This window comes from Homo sapiens, chromosome 11 (assembly GCF_000001405.40).
Source record: "Homo sapiens chromosome 11, GRCh38.p14 Primary Assembly".
NCBI classification, from domain to species: domain Eukaryota; kingdom Metazoa; phylum Chordata; class Mammalia; order Primates; family Hominidae; genus Homo; species Homo sapiens.
The window spans coordinates 13262197-13281938 of record NC_000011.10 but is presented as its reverse complement, the minus strand read 5'-3'; the positions used below and the strand labels follow the sequence as shown (position 1 = coordinate 13281938).

At 43.2% G+C, this 19742-nt stretch overlaps 1 protein-coding gene across 46 annotated transcripts in view, besides 3 other annotated features; it reads right to left on the bottom strand.

Annotated features, from left to right (window-relative positions):
• Positions 1–5287, bottom strand: part of BMAL1 (basic helix-loop-helix ARNT like 1) — a 110615-nt gene extending 105328 nt beyond the window's left edge. For 39 of the 46 annotated variants that reach the window (NR_147788.2, NR_147790.2, NR_147791.2 and 36 more), the window contains exon 1: positions 4016–4149. Coding sequence is in view for 6 of the 46 variants with exons in the window: in XM_017017738.3 (XP_016873227.1) it covers positions 4867–4914 (48 nt within the window). In the remaining 40 variants the exon portion in view is untranslated. Of the gene's footprint in view, positions 1–4015; positions 4150–4866 lie in introns of those variants that run through there. The other 7 variants (NM_001351804.1, XM_017017738.3, XM_017017739.3 and 4 more) reach the window with 1 other exon arrangement.
• Positions 3139–3478: a silencer, noted in NCBI's record as "silent region_3167". NCBI's record gives its function as "represses an Ori minimal core promoter by ATAC-STARR-seq in GM12878 lymphoblastoid cells {active_cell/tissue: GM12878}" and the evidence as "EXISTENCE:reporter gene assay evidence [ECO:0000049][PMID:35858748]".
• Positions 3759–3828: a silencer, noted in NCBI's record as "silent region_3166". NCBI's record gives its function as "represses an Ori minimal core promoter by ATAC-STARR-seq in GM12878 lymphoblastoid cells {active_cell/tissue: GM12878}" and the evidence as "EXISTENCE:reporter gene assay evidence [ECO:0000049][PMID:35858748]".
• Positions 3899–4548: a silencer, noted in NCBI's record as "silent region_3165". NCBI's record gives its function as "represses an Ori minimal core promoter by ATAC-STARR-seq in GM12878 lymphoblastoid cells {active_cell/tissue: GM12878}" and the evidence as "EXISTENCE:reporter gene assay evidence [ECO:0000049][PMID:35858748]".

The following is a 19742-nucleotide window of genomic DNA, read 5'->3' as shown; positions in this document are numbered from 1 at the left end:
CAGAAGCTAGGACAGACATTTATCTTTACAGGGGTGCAGGAAGAGAATCAAGAAACCAGCATGACCCAAAGGCTGAGAGAGGAAAGGATTTCAAAGGACAAAAAACAAGTGAGGTAAAAGCTTCAAAGGGGCTGAGCACAGTGACTCACGCCTGTAATCCCAGCACTTTGGGAGGCCAGTGCAGGTGGGTCACTTGAGCCCAGGAGTTTGAGACCAGCCTGGGCAACATGGCAAAACTCCATCTCTAATAAAAATACAAAAATGAGCCAGGTGTGATGGCACGTGTCTGTAGGCTCAGCTACTCTGGAGGCTGAGGCAGGAGGATTACCTGAGACTTGGGAGGCTGCAGTGAGCCACGATTGCACCACTGCACTCCAACCAGGCAAGACTGAGACCATGTTTAAAAAAATAAAAGAAATACTGCAAAGGGGCCAAGAACAACCACTCAGGAATAAGGATGGGCAGATGGGCCCCAGGAACTCACGACAAAGTTTTGGAGAAAACTTTGAGAAGAAATATAAAGAAAGGTGGTAGCGAGAGAAGCCAGAGGGCAGGTACTAAGAATGGAGCAGGAGATGGGAGAGTGGGGGAGGCTGGCAGGAGGGAGGAAAGAGAGGCTTACGAACCCAGGGTACCAAGTAAAGACACATGTAAATTGCCTGGTACACAGCAGGCTCACCACAAGTCTGACTCTGCCTCTTCCATCCTTCCTCTCCTAAGTCAAGCCTAAGGTTTTCAGGGTGGGGCAGGGGAGACTAAGGACAAACAGCACAAATAATATTCTAGTGATAGGACCCGGGTAGAGGTGAGAAGGAATGGCAGCTGGCACAAAGGAAAGGCTTCCTGTGTGCCAGGCCTTTTACATGCACCATCTCCCTTAATCCTCACACAGACTCCACGAGGCAGGCACTGCCATTACACCAAGAGGAGAAACCTGAGGTCAGAGGAGTCAAGCACACATCCAAGACCACAAAGCCCAAACCTGAGCCATGGATTCTTCTGCCACCAGAGCCCAGGCACTTGCCCATGGTGAGAGGCCAAGAAAAGGAACAGAGGAGAGGTCCACTTGCTTTCTCTGAATTGGGAGGAGATGAGGGGACGATGGGGATAGAGACAGGACATTTTGGGTGGGAAGTAAGAGATGCTGAGGGGGTTGAGTCAGAGCAGGTCTTATTTCATGAGAGGGAGAAGAAAAGACAAGGTGGGTATTTGGGATAAATCTGAGTCTTGTGATAAGGTGACAATGAAAAAAGACTGTGGAGAAGGATAACATGCCTGTGTCCCTAGCTCCCAACGAAACCTCAAGGTCTAGAAAGGATATTTTACTTCCCTGCAAGTACCTACTTTAGTTATCATGATGCTTCCTAAAATCACTGCATGTAATCACGGGGCTGAAACTGTTTATTTAATATTGATTTTCCTACCACAGTGAGAGTTGATGATGAAATCACAAAGAAAGCTCAGATACATTATAACCCTTACACCAAAGAGAGATATTAACTATCTAGTTTTTACCTTTTCATATGCAGTTTTGTTAATACAGCCAAATCTTTCTATGGTGCTTCTCCATCTTTTAGCATATAAATTCCACAGAGATTGTTGGTGTGAAGGGATAAATCTGAAAACATGGCCACTTCCTTTTCCTGCCCTGTGGCATGCAAACCTCTTCTGCAAATAGCAGACAAACTCGTAAGTAGTCATCATTTTATAAATCATTTGAAATGGATTCTTCAAAACACCATCTGTTGATCTGCTTAACTTTCTTATGAAAATAGGGCTTCAGCTCAGATATTCTGGAGGTGCCAGGAGGTAAATACCAACCTGAATTCAAATGTATTAAATATTTAGAGACTTACAGAACTTCAAAAGAGAGGAACCTTTGAGATCACCTAGTTCAACCGTCTTACTTTCCATCAGAGGCAAACACAACCTAGAAATCTTTAATAACTTGCCCCGACTGGAACGGCCATGAGAGCCCAAGCCTAAACTAGAACCAGGATGTCCAGCTCCTAACTCCCAGGTTAGTGCTTTTCTACCAGATCTGTTCGTTCTTCAGAGGGTTGAATAAAGAACAAATTTAACTACAGTTTTAACTTATTGTTATCATTCACTGGCTGCATCTACAATCAAAACCAAAATGCTTCTACAGAACCAGCTTCAGATGATACAGGCAATTTCAAATCCTGTCCAGGAAATTTCCAAACCTTCTAAATATGTTCTATAAGCTGCGTTAAAGACTTATCAGTAAAATGATCTGAGTAACAAAACATGGACTGAAAGACTGAATTTTGTATTTTCAAAAATATTTGGGAATTCCATTGATATGGAAATCAAATATAACACCAGCGAATTTTTTTAAGTCTTGCAAGCAGAGAGAGCATGATATTATTCAAAACTGCTCAGGAGCAGCAATGATTATTTTAAGCTCATGATTCAACGGGTACATTAATTAAAAACTCCACCAACCCAAATTCACAGATCCGGATATCAATGAGACCAGAAGAATTAAAATAATAGTTGTCATTTAATAATAGATTAAAGGGGTGAACAACAGCAGATGTCAGAAGGACAAATGACAAGCAAGCAGGTGTCGTGGGAAATGAATGCATCTAAGGGGCAGCTTTTATGGATGTTTAATAAAACGACGATGCTGGAAATACGGGTATACGGGTAGTGTCAAGAAAAGCTTGTTCACAAATACGGAATCTGATTTTTGGAAGCTGGGTGAGAAAACTTGGCTAATAATTCCTCGCTGAGGAGTAGCGGTGGAAGAAGGAAGAGACCGCAAGCGCCAAAGCGCCAAAACAACGCTAGGTGACCGGGAAGGGGCCGAGGCGGAGAGGGGAGAGGGGTCAGGAGGTGCGGGGTGCGCGGCGGCAGCGGGTCTCTCACCGGCCGGCGAGAACTTGACAGCAGGCGCCGGTGTCCAGCACTCCCCTTCCCTCCCCAGCTCCTGCCGGCGGGCACCTGAGCTCACCCCGCTGCCGGCTCTCGCGACCCCTCGGGGAGGCTAACATGCGCCCCACAAGGTCGACGTTCACCTCTACCTTCCTCGTCTTCTTCCAAGCAAACGGGAAGCTCTCTGGGATGTCAACGCCCGGCAATAGCCGAGCGGGAACCTTTTCTTCCCTGACATCTGTCAAACCCGGAGCTGGAGCCAGGCTCGCTGCGCCCTCCGCGGAGCTCTGGGACTCCAAGGCCGGCCCGCACCCGGGCTCCGGGCGACATCCCCAGGCCGACGCGCACCTGCCCGCAGACCCACGGGGCATCCTTGAGGGCCGCCCAGGACCTGGACGGCACAGGCCCCACGAAAGTTCGCAGGCTGGGGTCGGCCCCGTGCCGGCCGGGGATTCCCGGGTGCAGCGCCAGCCCTGGCTACAGGGCCGAAGGGGCGGGCGGACTTGGACTCCCCAAGCCCGACGGAGACGCCCTCCCCGCCCCCACCCAGCCTCGCGGGCTCCCGAAAGGGAAGTGAAGCGGGGAGGAAGGGCAGACGCGGCACCGTTCGCCCAACGCCCTTGAGGGGCAGCCACCAGGCATGGTCCCCTCGGGGATCCCCGAAGCTCCCGGGGACACATCTAGGAGTCCTCTTCGGCCGAGTCACTGCCCCCAAGGGCAGAGCTATCCCTTTAAGAGGCAGCTAGCTGCCCCCTCCCCCCGCCAGGTAGCGATGCCCGCGGAAGGGCGGTGGGTACTCCAGCGAACACTTTCCCGGCCCCTTTAAGGGCTCCTGCAGCACCTCTGCCTGCCCTAGCCCGCAGCGGCAGCCCCCGCGAGGAGGATGGGGGCGGACGGGCGCGGCGCCTTTAAGGGGCGCAGCCTCCCCACGGCCCGGGTGGGGGCAGGGAGCGGTCACGGGCCCTTTAAGGCCGGCAGCGGGCACGTCGGGCAGGGTTCTTCGGCGGCCGGGTTGCCCCCGGGGCGGCGGCAGGGGCGCAGCGCCCGCGAGGGTGCTAACGGCCCCCGACGGGGTGCGCGGGATCGCGTCGCTGGCCGCCGCCGGCCTGACACTCACCGTGGCTCGCCGGGAGCGCCCGCGCCCGCGCCCGCACTCGGATCCCGCGGCGGCGGCGGCGGTGAGTCCGGCGCGGGTAAACAGGCACCTCCGTCCCTGACCTACTTTCTGCCTTCCCTAAATGTCGCACCACTAACCTACTTTCCGACCAATCCGCTCCCCGCCGGCCCAGGCCCGGCCCCCCGCCCACCAATCGCTGTGCCCAACCCCCCTTCCCCGCCCACCAATGGAGGAGCCGCAGCGCCCGGATACCTGCCTCTTCCCGCCAGCCAATCCGAACGCCCGAAGGGAGCCGGTCCCGGCGGCCGCCCCCAGCCAATCCGCGCGCGGCTCGGCAGCCCGCTGGCCAGTTGTGTGGCGGCTAGAGAGGCCGCTGACCAATGGCGAGGCGGCGGGAGCCGGTTTACCTGCTACTTTCCTGCCACCAATCATTTGGCGCACAGGAGCGCACGCCCCGAGGAGAGGACCAATCCGCGCGCGCTCCCTGGGTTCCTCGCCCCTGCCCTCTCCCTTTCCCCTCAGGTCTCCCACTAGCCGCGGCCACTGCGGTGCCCAAGCCGCGCTCCTCGGGGTCGCCCGGGATGTCCCTCTTCTCTGGGTCCCCTGCCGGCTGGCGTTTGGCCGCCCGCCCTCACCCCTCCTCCTTCTTCTTCTCCCCTCCGGGCATTCCGACGAAAAGCAGCAGTTCCTGACTCCCTCTCTCCCTCCGGCTCCATCTAGGAAACCAATTTTAGGAACGTTGAGTGCCAGACCCTTCCTAAAATCCCTGGTTTGCCAAAGTCTCAACGAGAGAACGGATACTTAGTATTTCTAGAAGGCATTTCCACCCCGAGGACTGCAAGTGTTCTCACGTTCTTTGCGTTCATCATGACCTCCAAGTGTCCCACTGGAGCTGTCATTCCCGTAGTTCCAAAGAGAATACTCGAGCGCGGAGCGATTCCATTGCATTTCCTTCCAGTAGCCAGGTTTTGACCACTTACTGAAGAGTAGACACCAGCCCCGCGGCAGCGCTCTCTGCTGCAAAAAGCTGTCTACGGAGCAAGACGGAAGGAAACAGTTACAGAAAATAAAAATTTGATAACGACATGCGACTCGGTTGCTGAGAGGACAGAGAAAGTGACTTATTTTTGCATCTCAGGCACTTTGTAGAGGGCCTTTAGCACAAAGAACTCCCGGCTCTTCCAGATGTTAAACTCCCTGAATAGAAGGACAGCGTCTTCTTTTTCGTTATCCATCATGTCAGCTCTCCTTTAGCGCCTGCTGGGGTAGGGTGGAGTGGTGGGGGCGGGGCTGGCACCCAACAAGTGCACCATAAATATCTGTTGGCTGGATACATGAACAAATGGAATTAAATAAATTGGCCTAATTCTGTTACCCAGACTGGCCCCCGTGACTCTAGACTTCTAGCCTGGTAAGTTCCTTGAACACAGACACTGCGTTTTTTAATCTCTGTAACACCATTGCCCATCCCCAGCTCATTGACAGGCACGGAGTGCCCAATATGTGCTTGTGGTCTGAATGCTGACTGTTTTCGAGGTCAAGCAATTCCGTCGGTAGCTTGCTATTTTTCCGAAGTTTACACGCAGGTGGAATCTTATTGCTCCTTTGTCTCTGCCCCCATTTCATGAGGAGATCACTCTAGGTAAGTGGGACTTAAGCGAAGCACTTGACAAGATATCATAGACAAGATGAAGAAATATGGGCTGGATGCTAGTATCATTAATTGGACTAATAACTGGTTAAGTAACCATAACCTAAAGATGCTGATTGATGAGTCGACGTTGACCGAAAAGAAGATTGCAGGGAGTCAGCATTCCAGCAGCACCTACTACGTACCAGACACTGTGCTAAGTACTTTCCCCTCATGTTCTCCCTTAATCTTTATAACCACACTGTGAGGAAGCTTTTATTGCCCCATTTTACAGATGGGGAAACTGAAACTCAGAATTTAGCTAGCTGGCCAAAGGTCACACAGTAGGTGGCAGAGCCGTGATTCAAACTAGACTTTTTCTTTTTATTTCAAAGCCTCTATACCACACCAGTTACCCTCAGAATGACAGAAGCCTCTCTCCCAGGTCCAGACATCAGAACTTTTATCAGTGTTCTGAAGGAAAATCCAGAAGATTCGCATCACATGTCCAGATGACACAAAGCCAGGAGGGGAAGAGACGCTGTTACACAAACCACATACAATATTGGAGCAGTGGGCTGACTCTAACAGGGGTAAATGTGGAGTCCCACCCTGTGTGAAGCCAGCCGGAGGCAGAGGTGTCTTAGATGCTTACAGGAGCAAGATAAAGGGTCTTAGGTGACAAATAATCTGAGTCCACAGTGAATTGTGGCTGCCAAAATAAATAAACGCTCTTAGGCTGCATCAGTGGAAGTCTGACATGTAAAGCAAGATAGGTGTTATTGTGCTGCCCAGTGTTGGTCAGTACCCACATGAAGTATTGTCTGCAATTAAGACTTGGCAGAAAGAAATTATCTACATGCACAAGTAGAGGGACCAGGATGTAAAGAGGCTAGAAACTATGTCATATGAGGAAATATTAAAGGAAGCAGAAGGTTTTGCCCCAGGGGTACAAGGTAACTGTCTTGATATATGTGAAGAACTGTCAAATAGAAGAGAAATTAAACTTATACTTAAGGGCCTTAAGGGGTTGAAGGAGAACCTGTGGGTAGAAACTCTAGAATGAATCAATATGAACAATTTTCTAACAGCTAGAGCATCCTCTGCCTTGATTAATTGAGTTTCTTGTCACAAAAAATGTCCAAGTGAGAATTGGATTACCATGCAGTGGGAGGCGGGCTGAAATAGGTGTCTTTGTGGACTCCCTTCCTCTGAGATTCTCATCTTGTACCCTGGCTTTCCTCTTTTAAAGGTTATCACCCTGCCTTATCCTACCCTCAGTGGCCAAGCAACTGTCTTCCCTCATGTGCACCTGTTTTTCCCTGTGTAATTACACCTTTCTTTGTGGTTCTCTCTGTTGGAGATCCCAAACACCTCCTTCCACTACTACCTAACTTCCCTTTTCTTTTCTACTTTCCAGGATACTGAACTTTCAATTCATAGGGCACTGCTAAGGTCAAAATATTGTCCTCAATGTAAATTTTACTGGGCATGAGTAGAATCATGTGGATAAAAGGAAGATAAGAGAGAGCATTTATTTGCACCTACTGTGTACCAGATGCTTTAAATACATTATTTAATATAATCCTCACGTTAACCCTAGCAGTTGATATGCTTGCCCTCCACACTTGCTAGCTGGATGACTTTTATCAAATTGCTTAACCTCTTTGTACCTCAGTTTCCTCATCTGTAAAAGGGGGATAATCTAGTGTCTACTTCATAGGGCTGTTATAAGAGTTCAATGTGATGATAGATGGAAAGCCCTTAACACAGTGCCTGGCATACAGTCAAGATGTGATACATATTAGGTATCACTCTTAACAATTCTATGAAATAGATATTTCTTGCTCCTGTTTTACAGATGAAGTTAGTGAGGATAAAGTAGTATAATCTACAGTAGTTTCCCTGACTCTGATCCAATGATTGGATCCATTAGAATTACCTGGGGAGTTTTAAAAAATACAGACTTCAGAGTCCTGTTCTGGAAGATTCTGATTGCGTTTCTTTGGGATTTGACATTTGTGAATGGTTTGATCTGTTAACCAAGGTTGACATCTGGGTGTACAAAAAATGGGAATTAAAAAAAAAATCAGGCATTAATGAGTTAACCAGTGTTTATAGCTTTTTCAGCTGCTTTTGAAAAGACCTTCCTTGGCTCTTTTTTTAATGGGATGGCCATAGCAGCTCAGAATGGGAGAGCAGTAATACCTCATTTGGAATGTGTCCTAGACTGTGTAATTAGGCTTTAGACTAGATCTTGCTTGCAGACATGGCCAAGATTCCAAAGATCTTGGTGCTCAGATGTGAAAGGGGCTTTTCCGTTTGGCTAGAGGAAGCTAAAGCACCAGTGGCCACATGGCTTCTCAACAGAAGCTCTGAAGAACAGATAGACACTGTCTTCAAAAAACTGGCATCAATTTTGCCCAGCTTCACTGGGATGAGCAGACTAGAGTTCACTTTCTGGAGAATATAAAAGAAAGGAAGAATCCATTCTAGTTAGTATAGCAAAGTGAAGTGTTCAGGCAAGCCATTTCAGAAATGCATTAGCTCAAAAAAATTTACAATATGCTTTTGAAAAAGGAAAGAAGGGATAGACTGGGGAATTTGATCTCATACATTATCAAAGTGTACTATTAAACTATAGTAATAAAATAGTCTGGTATTGGTATAGAAACAGACCAATAGACGAATTAAAAGGCATAGCATCCAGAAATAGACCCAAAGTATAGGAAAATTGAGTTATAAAGTGAATTTTAAAGGATTGGGAAGAAGATGGATTTTTCAATAAATGCTATTGAAACAACTAGCTAGCCATAGGGAAACACATAAAATTTGCCCCCTACCCTGTACTTACATTAAAACATAAACCATAGGAAAAGAGAATTTAAGTGCATGTAGTCAAACCTATAAAAACACTAGAAAAAAATATGAGTAGAAGTTCTATAATCTTAAAAGGCCCATCTAAGCATAACACAAAATCCAGAGGCCATGAAAATAAAGGTGGATTTCATACATGCACACACACACACTCTCCATATAAACGAAATAAAGGAACAACTAGCATGCAGGCCCCACACCACATTATTAATGCACCATATACACATTCCAGTTAATAAGTCAGCAGCTGGCGTGGTGAGATGTAAGCAGTGATGTCATTTAACCTGTCATTGATAGAATTACTCCTTATAAAGAGCTACTCCTTGTAACATTGTCTTACTTCATTGGCCCTCTCTTTCTCGTTTGGTATTTTAAAAATAAAAGTTTATAATCACCAAGCACGATCTCCAGCATCAAAGGTTGTTTAGATCCTCTGCAGTGAGCTCTGGGTCCTTTGCTCCACTCATATAAAAGCTACAGACTCAGAATTTACCTAAGGAAAACTCTCATCCTGCATACAGATGTGTGTGCATTGTAAGAATGACTGCTACTCAAATCTCTCCTTTCTCTTTGGAAGAACAAGAACATCTATTGCTTTTTTTTTAGATTATGAAACCAATTTACATTTGTGATCAAAAATTTGGAAAGCACACACATAAAGAAGAAAATAAAAATAATCTATAATTCCATTAAGCGGATATAACCCACATTAAAATATCAATGTATTTTTTCTGTAACTATATCCTATTTTGACCTAATTTTTTTCTTTTTCAGAGACAGAGTCTTGCTATGCTGCCCAGGCTGGACTCGAACTTCTAGACTCGAGCAATTCTCATGCCTCAGCCTCCCAAGTGGCTGAGACTATAGGCATGCCACCACACCCAGCTCTTTTGATGTAATTTTTATCCCATCAAAGTTTTGTCATCTTGCTTTTAAAAAATTATCACATGCATTCTCTCTTGTTATTGAGCCTCCTTCTACAACTGGCTGTCTAATGGCTGCAGCATTTTTATTGTATGGAGAAACTATACCTCATGCAAAACTCTCTCATTGAAAGCGTTCACATAGTTCCTAATGTTTCTTTATTATACAGATGGCCCTGGGCTCACAGTGGTTTGAGTTACGATTTTTCTAGTTTATGATTGGCATATTGGGATATTAAATGTATTTTCAACTTTCAATATTTTTGACTTGCCATGGGTTTTTCGGGACATAACCCCATCGTAAGTTGAGGCTCATCTGTAAACAGTTTTGAAAAGAACATCCTTTGGGATTTTTAAACCTCAGGGCCCTCTGGAAGCTGTAGGCTAATGGGACTGGCCCACAGCTTTCCTACTCTACTTCATTACCACACTGGGTTTCAAAGAATCAGCTGGTATAGACAGGAAATACAACTTACATATTTTTTTCTTATAAGGTTTCAATGTTATCTCCTCCTGCTGCTGCTTCTCTCTCTGCCATAAAACTTATTTTAAAGACATGGAAAATTATATGCACTTGAGTTAAATACAAAACCACAAGTGACTATAGCTTGATAAGTGGTCTTTGGGAAATTTATGAGCCAAAATCTGTGTCATAAATTGATAGCACTCCAGCTAACAAAAGATTGACAATAAAACTTACTGTAAATAAAACCATCTAAATCTTGAGTATGAATAAAGTCCATTAGTTTGGGTTGTATTTTTATTATTGTTGTTTTTGACTCCTGTGCTGCATGTACATTTTCTTTTATTCATCTACTGCAAAATCATACATTTGCACATTTACCAGAGAAGGGCAAGAAAATATAATCAAGTGATATTACTTCTTAGACCTTGGAAGATTTGGATAGGTGAGAAAGGTGAAAGTCAACAGCCAAAAAAGAAAGAGAGAGAAAGAAAGAAAGAAGAGAGAGAGAGAAAGAAAGAAAAAGAAAGAAAGAAAGAAAGAAAAGAAGGAAAAGAAAGAAGGAAGGAGAAAGAAAGAGAAAGAAAGAAAGAAAGGAAAGAAAAAGAAAGATTGCACACTGATCCCCTCTGCCTGTAAATTTCCCTTACTTCCATTGCCTTTGACCCATGAATCTGGCTCACACTTGCTTCGCTGCTTAAAGGTCACTTCCTCAGGGAAACCTTCCCTGACCTCCCAGCTATAAAAATCTACCACAACAGCACCTTGTACTTCCTTTTTCAAAGCACTGTCACACTTGTAATTTCTTGTCTTCTCATAAACTCTGTGAGGCAGGTGCCACACCTGCATATTTCACTTCTATATCTCCCATAGCTATCAAAGCAGTAGCACATTCATGAGAACAAATATTGTCTGAACAAATTAATAAAAAATGATAAAGACATGCAAAAGTGAGCTGTACTTCTTGCATGGACACACGCAAGACATCACCTTCCAGAGATACACATAGGATTTAAGCACTGGCTTCAATTACCCCCTCATCAGAGAAAACCTCCCATCCCTTCTGAAATATTACAGCAGCCTCTGCATTTCACATTTTACCCTTCTTGAATTTTCTTTTCAACACATATCACTATCTGACATTTTGTTGTCTATTCATTTATTTATTGTATGCTTTCCCCCGTAAGGTCTGTGAGAGGAGGGTTATTTGTACTGCCATATCTCTCACATCTAGAATAGAATCCAGCAGGTAGTAGGTGTGCAATAAAAGTTCAATGAATGAATGAATGAATGAATCAATCAATCAATCAATCAATGAGATTCCAGAGTGCAGCACATCGAGCCATTTTGGCTTTCCAAATAGTCATACCAACTTCCAGCAAAAAGCACCACATTCCATAATATAGGGAGACAAAAGAATAAATAATTTTTAAAATTGTTTCCTTTAGTTGAGTTGTTTCTATCATTTGTTAGCCAATTTTTAAAGTTGCAACTATCAAAATTTTTTATGTTTTTCTGCCTCACAGTGAGTTGACAATATGTTCAAATCAAGTATCTCATTGGGTATGAAAAGAAACAAACTTTTTCATAAGTTACAGTGTGAATGTTGATTTTGTTGTTGTTGCTGTCATTGTTCAGGAAGTCCAATAATAAGGACTAGAAAGTTTATTCACTTTTGAGAAAATAAGTAGTTATATCAGCTGGATAAAATACAACGCCATCCTTTAAAATGTTAAATATGAAGTTAAGCCATATAGAAAAAAGCCAAATAATGTAATATGAAAAGTAAGACTCCCATCATATACAGAGTGACTGAAATTTTGTAAATAAGATGTGTACATATGGACAAAGTTATAAGTATTCTAGCAGTAGCTCACTGATTACATTTTATTGAAGAGGTTATGGGATAAACTTTCTGCAAAGTTGTTTATAAAAATAAAAATAATTTTAAAAGGAAACCAGGAGAGCCAAGTGTCCCAGAACACTTCATGTGTTTTCTGGCACCACTTCATGTTATTCTGGTTTTTTCTTCTTAGTTAGTCACCAGTTATCCACCTTCAAATTGAACAGCCTTTGAGATGACTTGCCCTGGTTGGGCTGGGATCCCTGGAAAATTCCAGGGTGATCTGCTTTTATGCCTTGGAGTTCCTTTTAATCTCAATACACTGACAGAGAAATACCAAGAGTTGTATTGTGAATTTCCAGTTTCAAGATGGAATTCAATATAACTTACAGTTTTAGTGGTGCTTGGTATTATTTTTATTTTTTGGACATTCTCCAGCTTGAAGCTCTGCTTCTGGGGAAGACACTCTGCTGCCCAGGAACATTCATAGCTAAAGGACCTCTGCACTAAAACACCACAACCCCACATGCTACGCCAGGTCAATGCCTTAACCAAGAGCTCTGGTCTGGGCCCAAAGGGGGAAAACATAATTTTTTTCCTGAGGCCATGGTCTTGGTGATTTCATGCTTCCCAGGGACAGCAGGCTTTGGAAATTAGAGTGAACCAGCTCTTCTCACATAATCCCCACCTTATCTACTCCACTCTCTTCCCCTAATGCAGAGTGCAATATTGGCACCTTGGAAGGTTGGCCATGATTCATGGTCCATTATAAGGTTTAGGAGTTAACCTTTCCAAGTAGATGAAACCAAAATAGTTGGTAACCTCCCTATTAAAATCAAACCTTTTCCCTCACTCTTTCCTAATCTTAGAACTTGAGAGTATGAAAGACAAACAGCAATTTCATTGTACCAGGGGAAAATAATACAGTAAGACTCTCTAATTCTTCAGACTGGGTTTTAAGCATCCAGCTGTCTTCATTTGCAAGGCATTAAATATTTTCATATTCCACAAATGGGGCTATTGAACAATGATAAATGAAGTCTAATGCAACTATTTTTAGTATGGAAATTGCAATTAAAATGCAGTAGAATAATAATCTTGCCCAAGCATGTCTGAGATCTTCTTTCCAGTTTTTTCAAAACAATGCTTTCTATGTCTGGCTGCAGAGACTTGTTGCTTGTTTTCCTTTTGCTGAAGAATAGGTAACACTTGACATTCTTTCTAAACCAGGTGAATGTGCAGCTGAAATTGTGGTTTTGGCTGGACACAATCCTTCCTTCTTTCTCCATGTTTTCATTTACACAATCTAGGGGATGAAATCTGTTTCCTATATATAGTGGTAAATTACCATGAACCAAATCAGTTTCCTAGGTAACTATTATCTATTTATTTATCTTTCCATCGATCTATCTATTTTTAAACTTAGGATAGTTCATTATTGTTGTTTGAGACAGAAAACATACCTAACAAAATAATAATAATAAAAACAAACACTTTTATGGTGCTTACCACATGCCAAGTATTATTTGAAACACTTTATACATATTGACTCAACCCAACACAATTGACACAACTCCAGAGGTAAGTTTCTATGTTATTCTTATTTTATAGGTGAAGAAACTGATGTGTGGAGAAGTTAAATAACCTGCCTATGGCTCCCAGCAAGTAAATGGCAGAGCCATAATCCAAACCCAGACATCTGACTCCAGAAGCAGCTCTCAGCCCATGTGCTGGCCTCACAGCAGCAACTTTGGGATGTAGGTATTACCCCCATTTTATGGGTGAAGCCACTGAGGTTCAGAGAGGTAAAGCTATTCATTCAATATCACAAATCTGGTAAGCAGCTAACCTAGAATTCAACTCAGATTTCAGGTGGCTTTGGCTGTAATGTTTGTGTTTTCTCTAACCTGAAATAGTGCTATTTATTTAATATAATACCTTTTATTAGTAGGAGTAAAAAGTTCTATTTTTTAGGAGTAAAAAGTTCTATTTTTTACTCCTACTAATAAAAGGTAGGATAGTCCTACTAATAAAAGGTATTATATGTCCTGGGCCAGGCGCAGTGGCTCACTCCTGTAATGCCAGCACGTTGGGAGGCCAAGGCCGGCGGATCACCTGAGGTCAGAAGTTCAAGCCCAGCCTGGCCAACATGGTGAAACCCCGTCACTACTAAAAATAAATTAAAAAATAGCCAGGTGTTGTGGCACATGTCTGTAATCCTAGCTACTTGGAGGCTGAAGCAGGAGAATCGCTTGAACCCAGGAGGCAGAGTTTCCAGTGAGCCGAGATCACACCATTGCACCTCAGCCTGGGTGACAAGAGTGAAACTCCATCTCAAAGGAAAAAAAAGGGGGGTATTATATGTCCTTTTAAACACTTTCATGGGTTAGCGAGACTTGTGTTAATATGAAAACACAATGAAAAGAACACTTTTTCCCCATTAGAAAGTATTCTCAAACTTCCAAGGGATCACCTTATAAATGATGGTCTGTAACTCACTACATTTGAAAGTTGTAGATTAGTCAAGTTTAGAAAATAAAATCTGATTTTCAAATATTAAGTACCATAGTCCTTTGAAAACACATTGTTTCTTATTCTGCAAGGAGGGAAAAGGTCTATTAAGTTGATTGAACTAGAAAAATGCATTTTCTCTTTTAAAAAAACCACACACACACCAAAGAACAAAAAAATCATAATTAATTTTTTTGGGTTTGTTACTAACCATGCTTCTAAACTGTGTTTATTCTCTGCAAGCCTCTGTAAGAGGCCATTAGCTGCAATGCAGAAGCCTTATTTATTTATTTATTTATTTACTTTAAGGCTGAAAAGCTTTCCTCTTCAAGTTTCTGTGTGTAGGATAGTCCTTGGTGCACGCTTGAACACACTGGGGAGAATGCACTAGATGAGCTCACCTTGAGAATGAATCTGAAGATAAAAGCTCCCTGAAAAACAAGCAGTCAAAACTGATTGTCATAGAATCCTAAAGAATAATCCATCACTCATTTTTTTTGTACACAAGAAGACCCAAAGGGCCTCCTGTTTGTTTTCTATTTCTGTTTCAGCAAATTTTAAGCTGAAGTGTGATTTCCATGTTCAGCATTAATGAGAATTTTGCTGTGCTTTGAAATTTGCTGTCATCCCATTTCCTGTGCTTTACTGTTTTTGAGGCCAATTCAGCAATGGCAGGGTCCTGCTTGCTCTGCCCTGCCAGGTTCATTAAAATCAAATTTATTAACAGTACTCTTCCTCTCACTAGGGTGTTGCCCATTTTTAAATAGCTATCCTGTAAAAAAGCTTCATTTTTAAAGTAGAAACATTTTAAGCGCTCTTTGAAAAAATACACTTGGGAATCCATTGGTAAAGAAACCACCCTTGGAATGAAACATTAAAATGAGCTACATGTGAATTTGAACATTTACTTCATAGAATATAGAGAAAAGAATTGCAGGGCTTCAGATTCAAGAATACCTGGTACATTGCATTAAAACCATTTCAACTCTGGTATATGTTGCTAATGCCAATGGAAGTATTTAGTTCCTATAGATAAGTTGTTCAACAAAGAGTTGCCATTATCTCTCTCTCTCTCTTTTTGAGACGGAGTTTCGCTCTTGTTGCCCAGGCTGCAGTGCGATGGCACTATCTCGGCTCACCACAACCCTGCCTCCCGGGTTCAAGCCATTCTCCTGTCTCAGCCTCCCGAGTAGCTGGGGTTACAGGCACATGCCACCACACCCGGCTAATTTTTGTATTTTTAGTAGAGATGGGGTTTCATCATATTGGTCAGGCTGGTCTCTAACGCCTGACCTCAGATGATCCCCCCTCCTCAGCCTCCCAAAGTGCTGGGATTACAGGTGTGAGCCACTGTGCCTGGCCTATCTTTCTCTCTTAAGTATTGCTATACTTATCCCAAGAAAGTTGTCTGTATTTGTGGCCTCTTGTTATACACTCTGAAATCTTTCCTTATCCTCCTATATGCCCATTTTCCTGAATAAAAGTTTTTAAAAGTCACCAATGACATCCTAAACACCAATTCAAATGGCTTTTACTTAGTCTTCAGTCTTCTTGACTTGAGAACAACACGCAGTTTAATGGAAAAATAATTACCAAAGTTAATTTGACATATATTAACTGATATGCAAAAAAGTTGCTTCTTAGTAATTAGACATGAATATTAAGCAAGTATTATAAATAGCTTTAACTGACTGTGTCACTTTTTTCCAGCCCAGTTTTCATTTTTTAATTCTTCCTTTTGCTTTATTTTATCAAATAGTACATTTTATTTCACATTTTCTATGTGCCAAGCACTATGCTAAACATTTTATATACGTTATTTCATTTAATCCTCACACACATGCAAAGATTAATGTCCTTATTCTACCAATAATGAAAGGAAAGTTCCAAATGATTGGGCATTTGATCCAAGATTACATGGTTATCAGTGGAGTAACAAGTTCAACCCATTTTGGTCAGACAAGAGAACACTTGCTCCTGATTCTCAGTATCTACACACAGTATCATTTTGATGGATTTTCCTCATGTCATATAATTTGATACTCATTAAACACATCCATTTATCCTATCAGTTAGTCTAGTGGTCCATAAACATTCAAGTTTTAACTGCGATACTGAGAGATATAAGATATAGTTCCACCTATCAAGGCATTTCTGGGCTAGCAGGGAATATAAGTCAATAAACAAGTTTACAATCCAGTGAGATGGTTATCATAATAAAGGGAAGTATTAAGTGTGATGGGAGCGGAGAATGGCCAAAATTTGTCTGGGAAAGTGAGGAAAGTCATCAGAAAAAGGCTTTGATTTGAATAGAGACTTTAAGGACAGGGAGAAGAGATGAACTGGGGTGGAAAGCAAATGGGCTCTGCATCTGGAAGCTGAGGTTGCTGTGCCTATAGGTCCTCTGTACCTCCAAAACATCTGGAGTTTGTGCACTTAGCTGGAATAACCCCAGCTTACCTTTATCAAAGAAAACAACATATCTTAAAGACAAGAGGTACCAGATTCTTCTGACAATACTCTACTAATATCTGCTAATACCCTATTCCCCTTTCTCCCTAATGCTCTATTTCAATGGTTCTCAAAGTGTGGTCCTTGAACCATGAGCAGTAGGAGCAACAGCACCTGAGAACTTGTTAGAAATGCAGATTCCTAGACTCTACTCCAGATTTACTGAGCCAGAAACTCTTTGAATGGGGCCCAGCAATCAGTTTTAAAGAGCCCTCCAAGCGATTCTGGTGCATGCAGGAGTTTGGAACTACTGCTGCACCTTCCTGCATATACTTTAGAACAATGAAGCTAATTTCCCTAACAAGCTTTGAGGTGTGGTGTGTCTGTTGCATTCACCCTTGTGCTCCCAGCACCTAGCCCAGCACTGGACACAAACGTAGTAAGTATTCAATAAACATTTGTGGAATGAATGAATGAATAATTAAAAATGCATTTCACAAGTGCATAAAAAGCTTTAAATGCCAATACTCCTAGAAAAGATGAAGTAGTTTCACTAATTTCTGATAAGAATGGAAGGGAGCAGAAAGTGAAAGTCCTTGGGAAGGAAGAGAATTAACATTTCCAGAGCACTGACTGTGTGCTAGGGGCTTTTCAGAGGCTTTCTGATATCTTCATAACTACCCGGGAGGTAGATATTATCATCCTCACCTGAAAGATTAACAATACTAAGGCTCACAGAGAAAATGTTCCCAATCACCCAGCTGGCAGTAGGTAATACAAACCCAGAGCCCTCCAGCTCCACGGCCCTACTGTTTTCTCTTCTCCATGGTCCCTCTGAGAAACACCACCAGCAGCAAGAAAGGGGCAAATGGAAGCAGAAAAAGCCTTGAAGGGAAAGAAAGACTCCATTGACTTCACAATTTTGCCTGGTGTCATCGCCATCACCTGCTCATTAATTGGCAGGACACTGCTAAGAGGTATCAGTAACCTGTGAGCAATGTGTCCTTAGGCATTTTATACTATATTGGTGTCTTCTTCAGAACCTGTCCTCTTCTCCATTAGCCATGACCTCACACCATCTTCCATCTCCTGTCTGTCTGAATGTGCCTTCTCATTCACTGACCCTGAACAGAGACAGCAATCTGTCAATCCGTCCATGTCCTGCCCGGGTGAGGTTTCCCACGCTGGGTCAAATTAAGCTTCAGGCTCCACTCATGATCTTGCTCTTTACAGATTCCTTTAAATTTCTGTTTTGCAATCATATTTTCCCTAGAACCCAAAGGTTTGGTTCCCAGAAGCTACTTCTCTTTTCCTTCCTTCCCTGACCTTTAAAGGTTTCTTCCATTCTGAGAGACTAAATACCATTTCATCACTCTCTACCTGGCATCTCCAGCGCTGGCCTGGTCCTGAGTTTTCGTCCCGCATCTTTCTGCCTGGTGGAAGTTTCACTTTAATGCAACATGTTTGAACCAAGCTCTCAATCTACTCTTTAATCTTATTCTCCCTCCCAAACTGTTCCTGTCATTAGCACCACATTCTACCAGTCATTAGACTTTTAAAGCCACCCACTTGAATAGTTAACCTCTCCTTCCTTTGCAGACTTTCCTTCCTTCCTTCCTCCCTCCCTCCCTCCCTTCCTTCCTTTGTTCCTTTCCCTTCTCTCCTTCTCTTACTCCTTCCACAGATCTGCCCCTTGCCCACTTACTATGGGGTATTTAATAAGCACTTACTACATGCCAGTCCAGGTTACTCTTTGCCTTCCTGGAGCCTACAATCTGGTGAGAGAAACCCACAAGCAAGTAAACTAGTTATAGCTTCTGTCAAGTACAGTGAACTAGACAGAGGGCTGTGTACAGGATAATGAAGGGAGCAGACAAGAAAGGGCCTCTCTGAGGAGGTGATATTTAGACTGAGATCCATGAGGAACAGTGGATATAGGAGGGTGGGCTGCCCATATGAGGTCTGATCGGGTGCCAGAGCTTAATGAGCTGGCAGGAGAGTGGATAGGCCAGGAAAGAAGTGAGTAGAAGCAGATCTGGAGGGACTAGGAGGGCAGGTGAGTCTGACTTTATTCAAAGTGCTTTGGAAGCCTTTAGAGGGCTCAAGTGAGGGGGAACCTAATCCGACTTACACTTGGAAGAAGCATGGGGTGGACAGTGACCTTCTCAGCTGTTTTCTGAAGAAATGATTGGAGAGAAAGTGGGTAAACGTGTGGGTTTGCCTTTCTCTTCCAAATCTTCCCAATATAATGTTTTTCTAATTAAGACTAATATTCTTCCTTGCAATCAAAAGGGTGAGAGTTACATTCTGCACCACTCAACAGCCATGCTTCAGAGAGGGGTCTTGGGTACTGGCAGTGAGCGATATCAACAATGCAACAACAACAGTAAAGCTTACGGAGCATGACTATGTGTACTCAATATGAGTACTTATGTGCATTAGATGTTTTAGTGCACAAGAGCCTTATATAGGGTGTATTGCCACCTTTATTTTACAGAGAAGGACAAAGAGGTGAATTAACTTGTCCAAGGTCACAGAGCAGCTAAGACAAAAATGAATGAAGAAACGATTTCCAAATAAATATAGTCAGTCTTTGATTGGTTTTTCGTCCTGTCTTCCACATTCATTGTGAAAAATGCAAACTGTACAAAACTGCATAAAGTAGAAAGTTAAAGCTCCCTGTAACCCTGCCCCTAAGGTGAGAGTTTGAACTTGCGCTCCGTGGTTTTTCCCCCAGCAGAGCTAGAATACTTCCTATAGGCAACCTGAAAAGCTCTCAGGTATCTGACTTCTACAAAGGGGCTGGTCCTCTCTTAAGCCAGTTTAGAAACAGAAGAATATAAAGCCACTTTCTTACCATTTCTGCTATAGAAAGTGAACGCCAAACCATTCTGGCTACAAAGAGAGTCACACCCATTTGGAGTGAAAGCTTTCATGAGTTTACATCACTGCTTAGAAGGACAGGCCAAAAAATACAGCAGGAGGACAATGAGAGTTTACCTTCATCCACGAACAATAAAACGAGAACA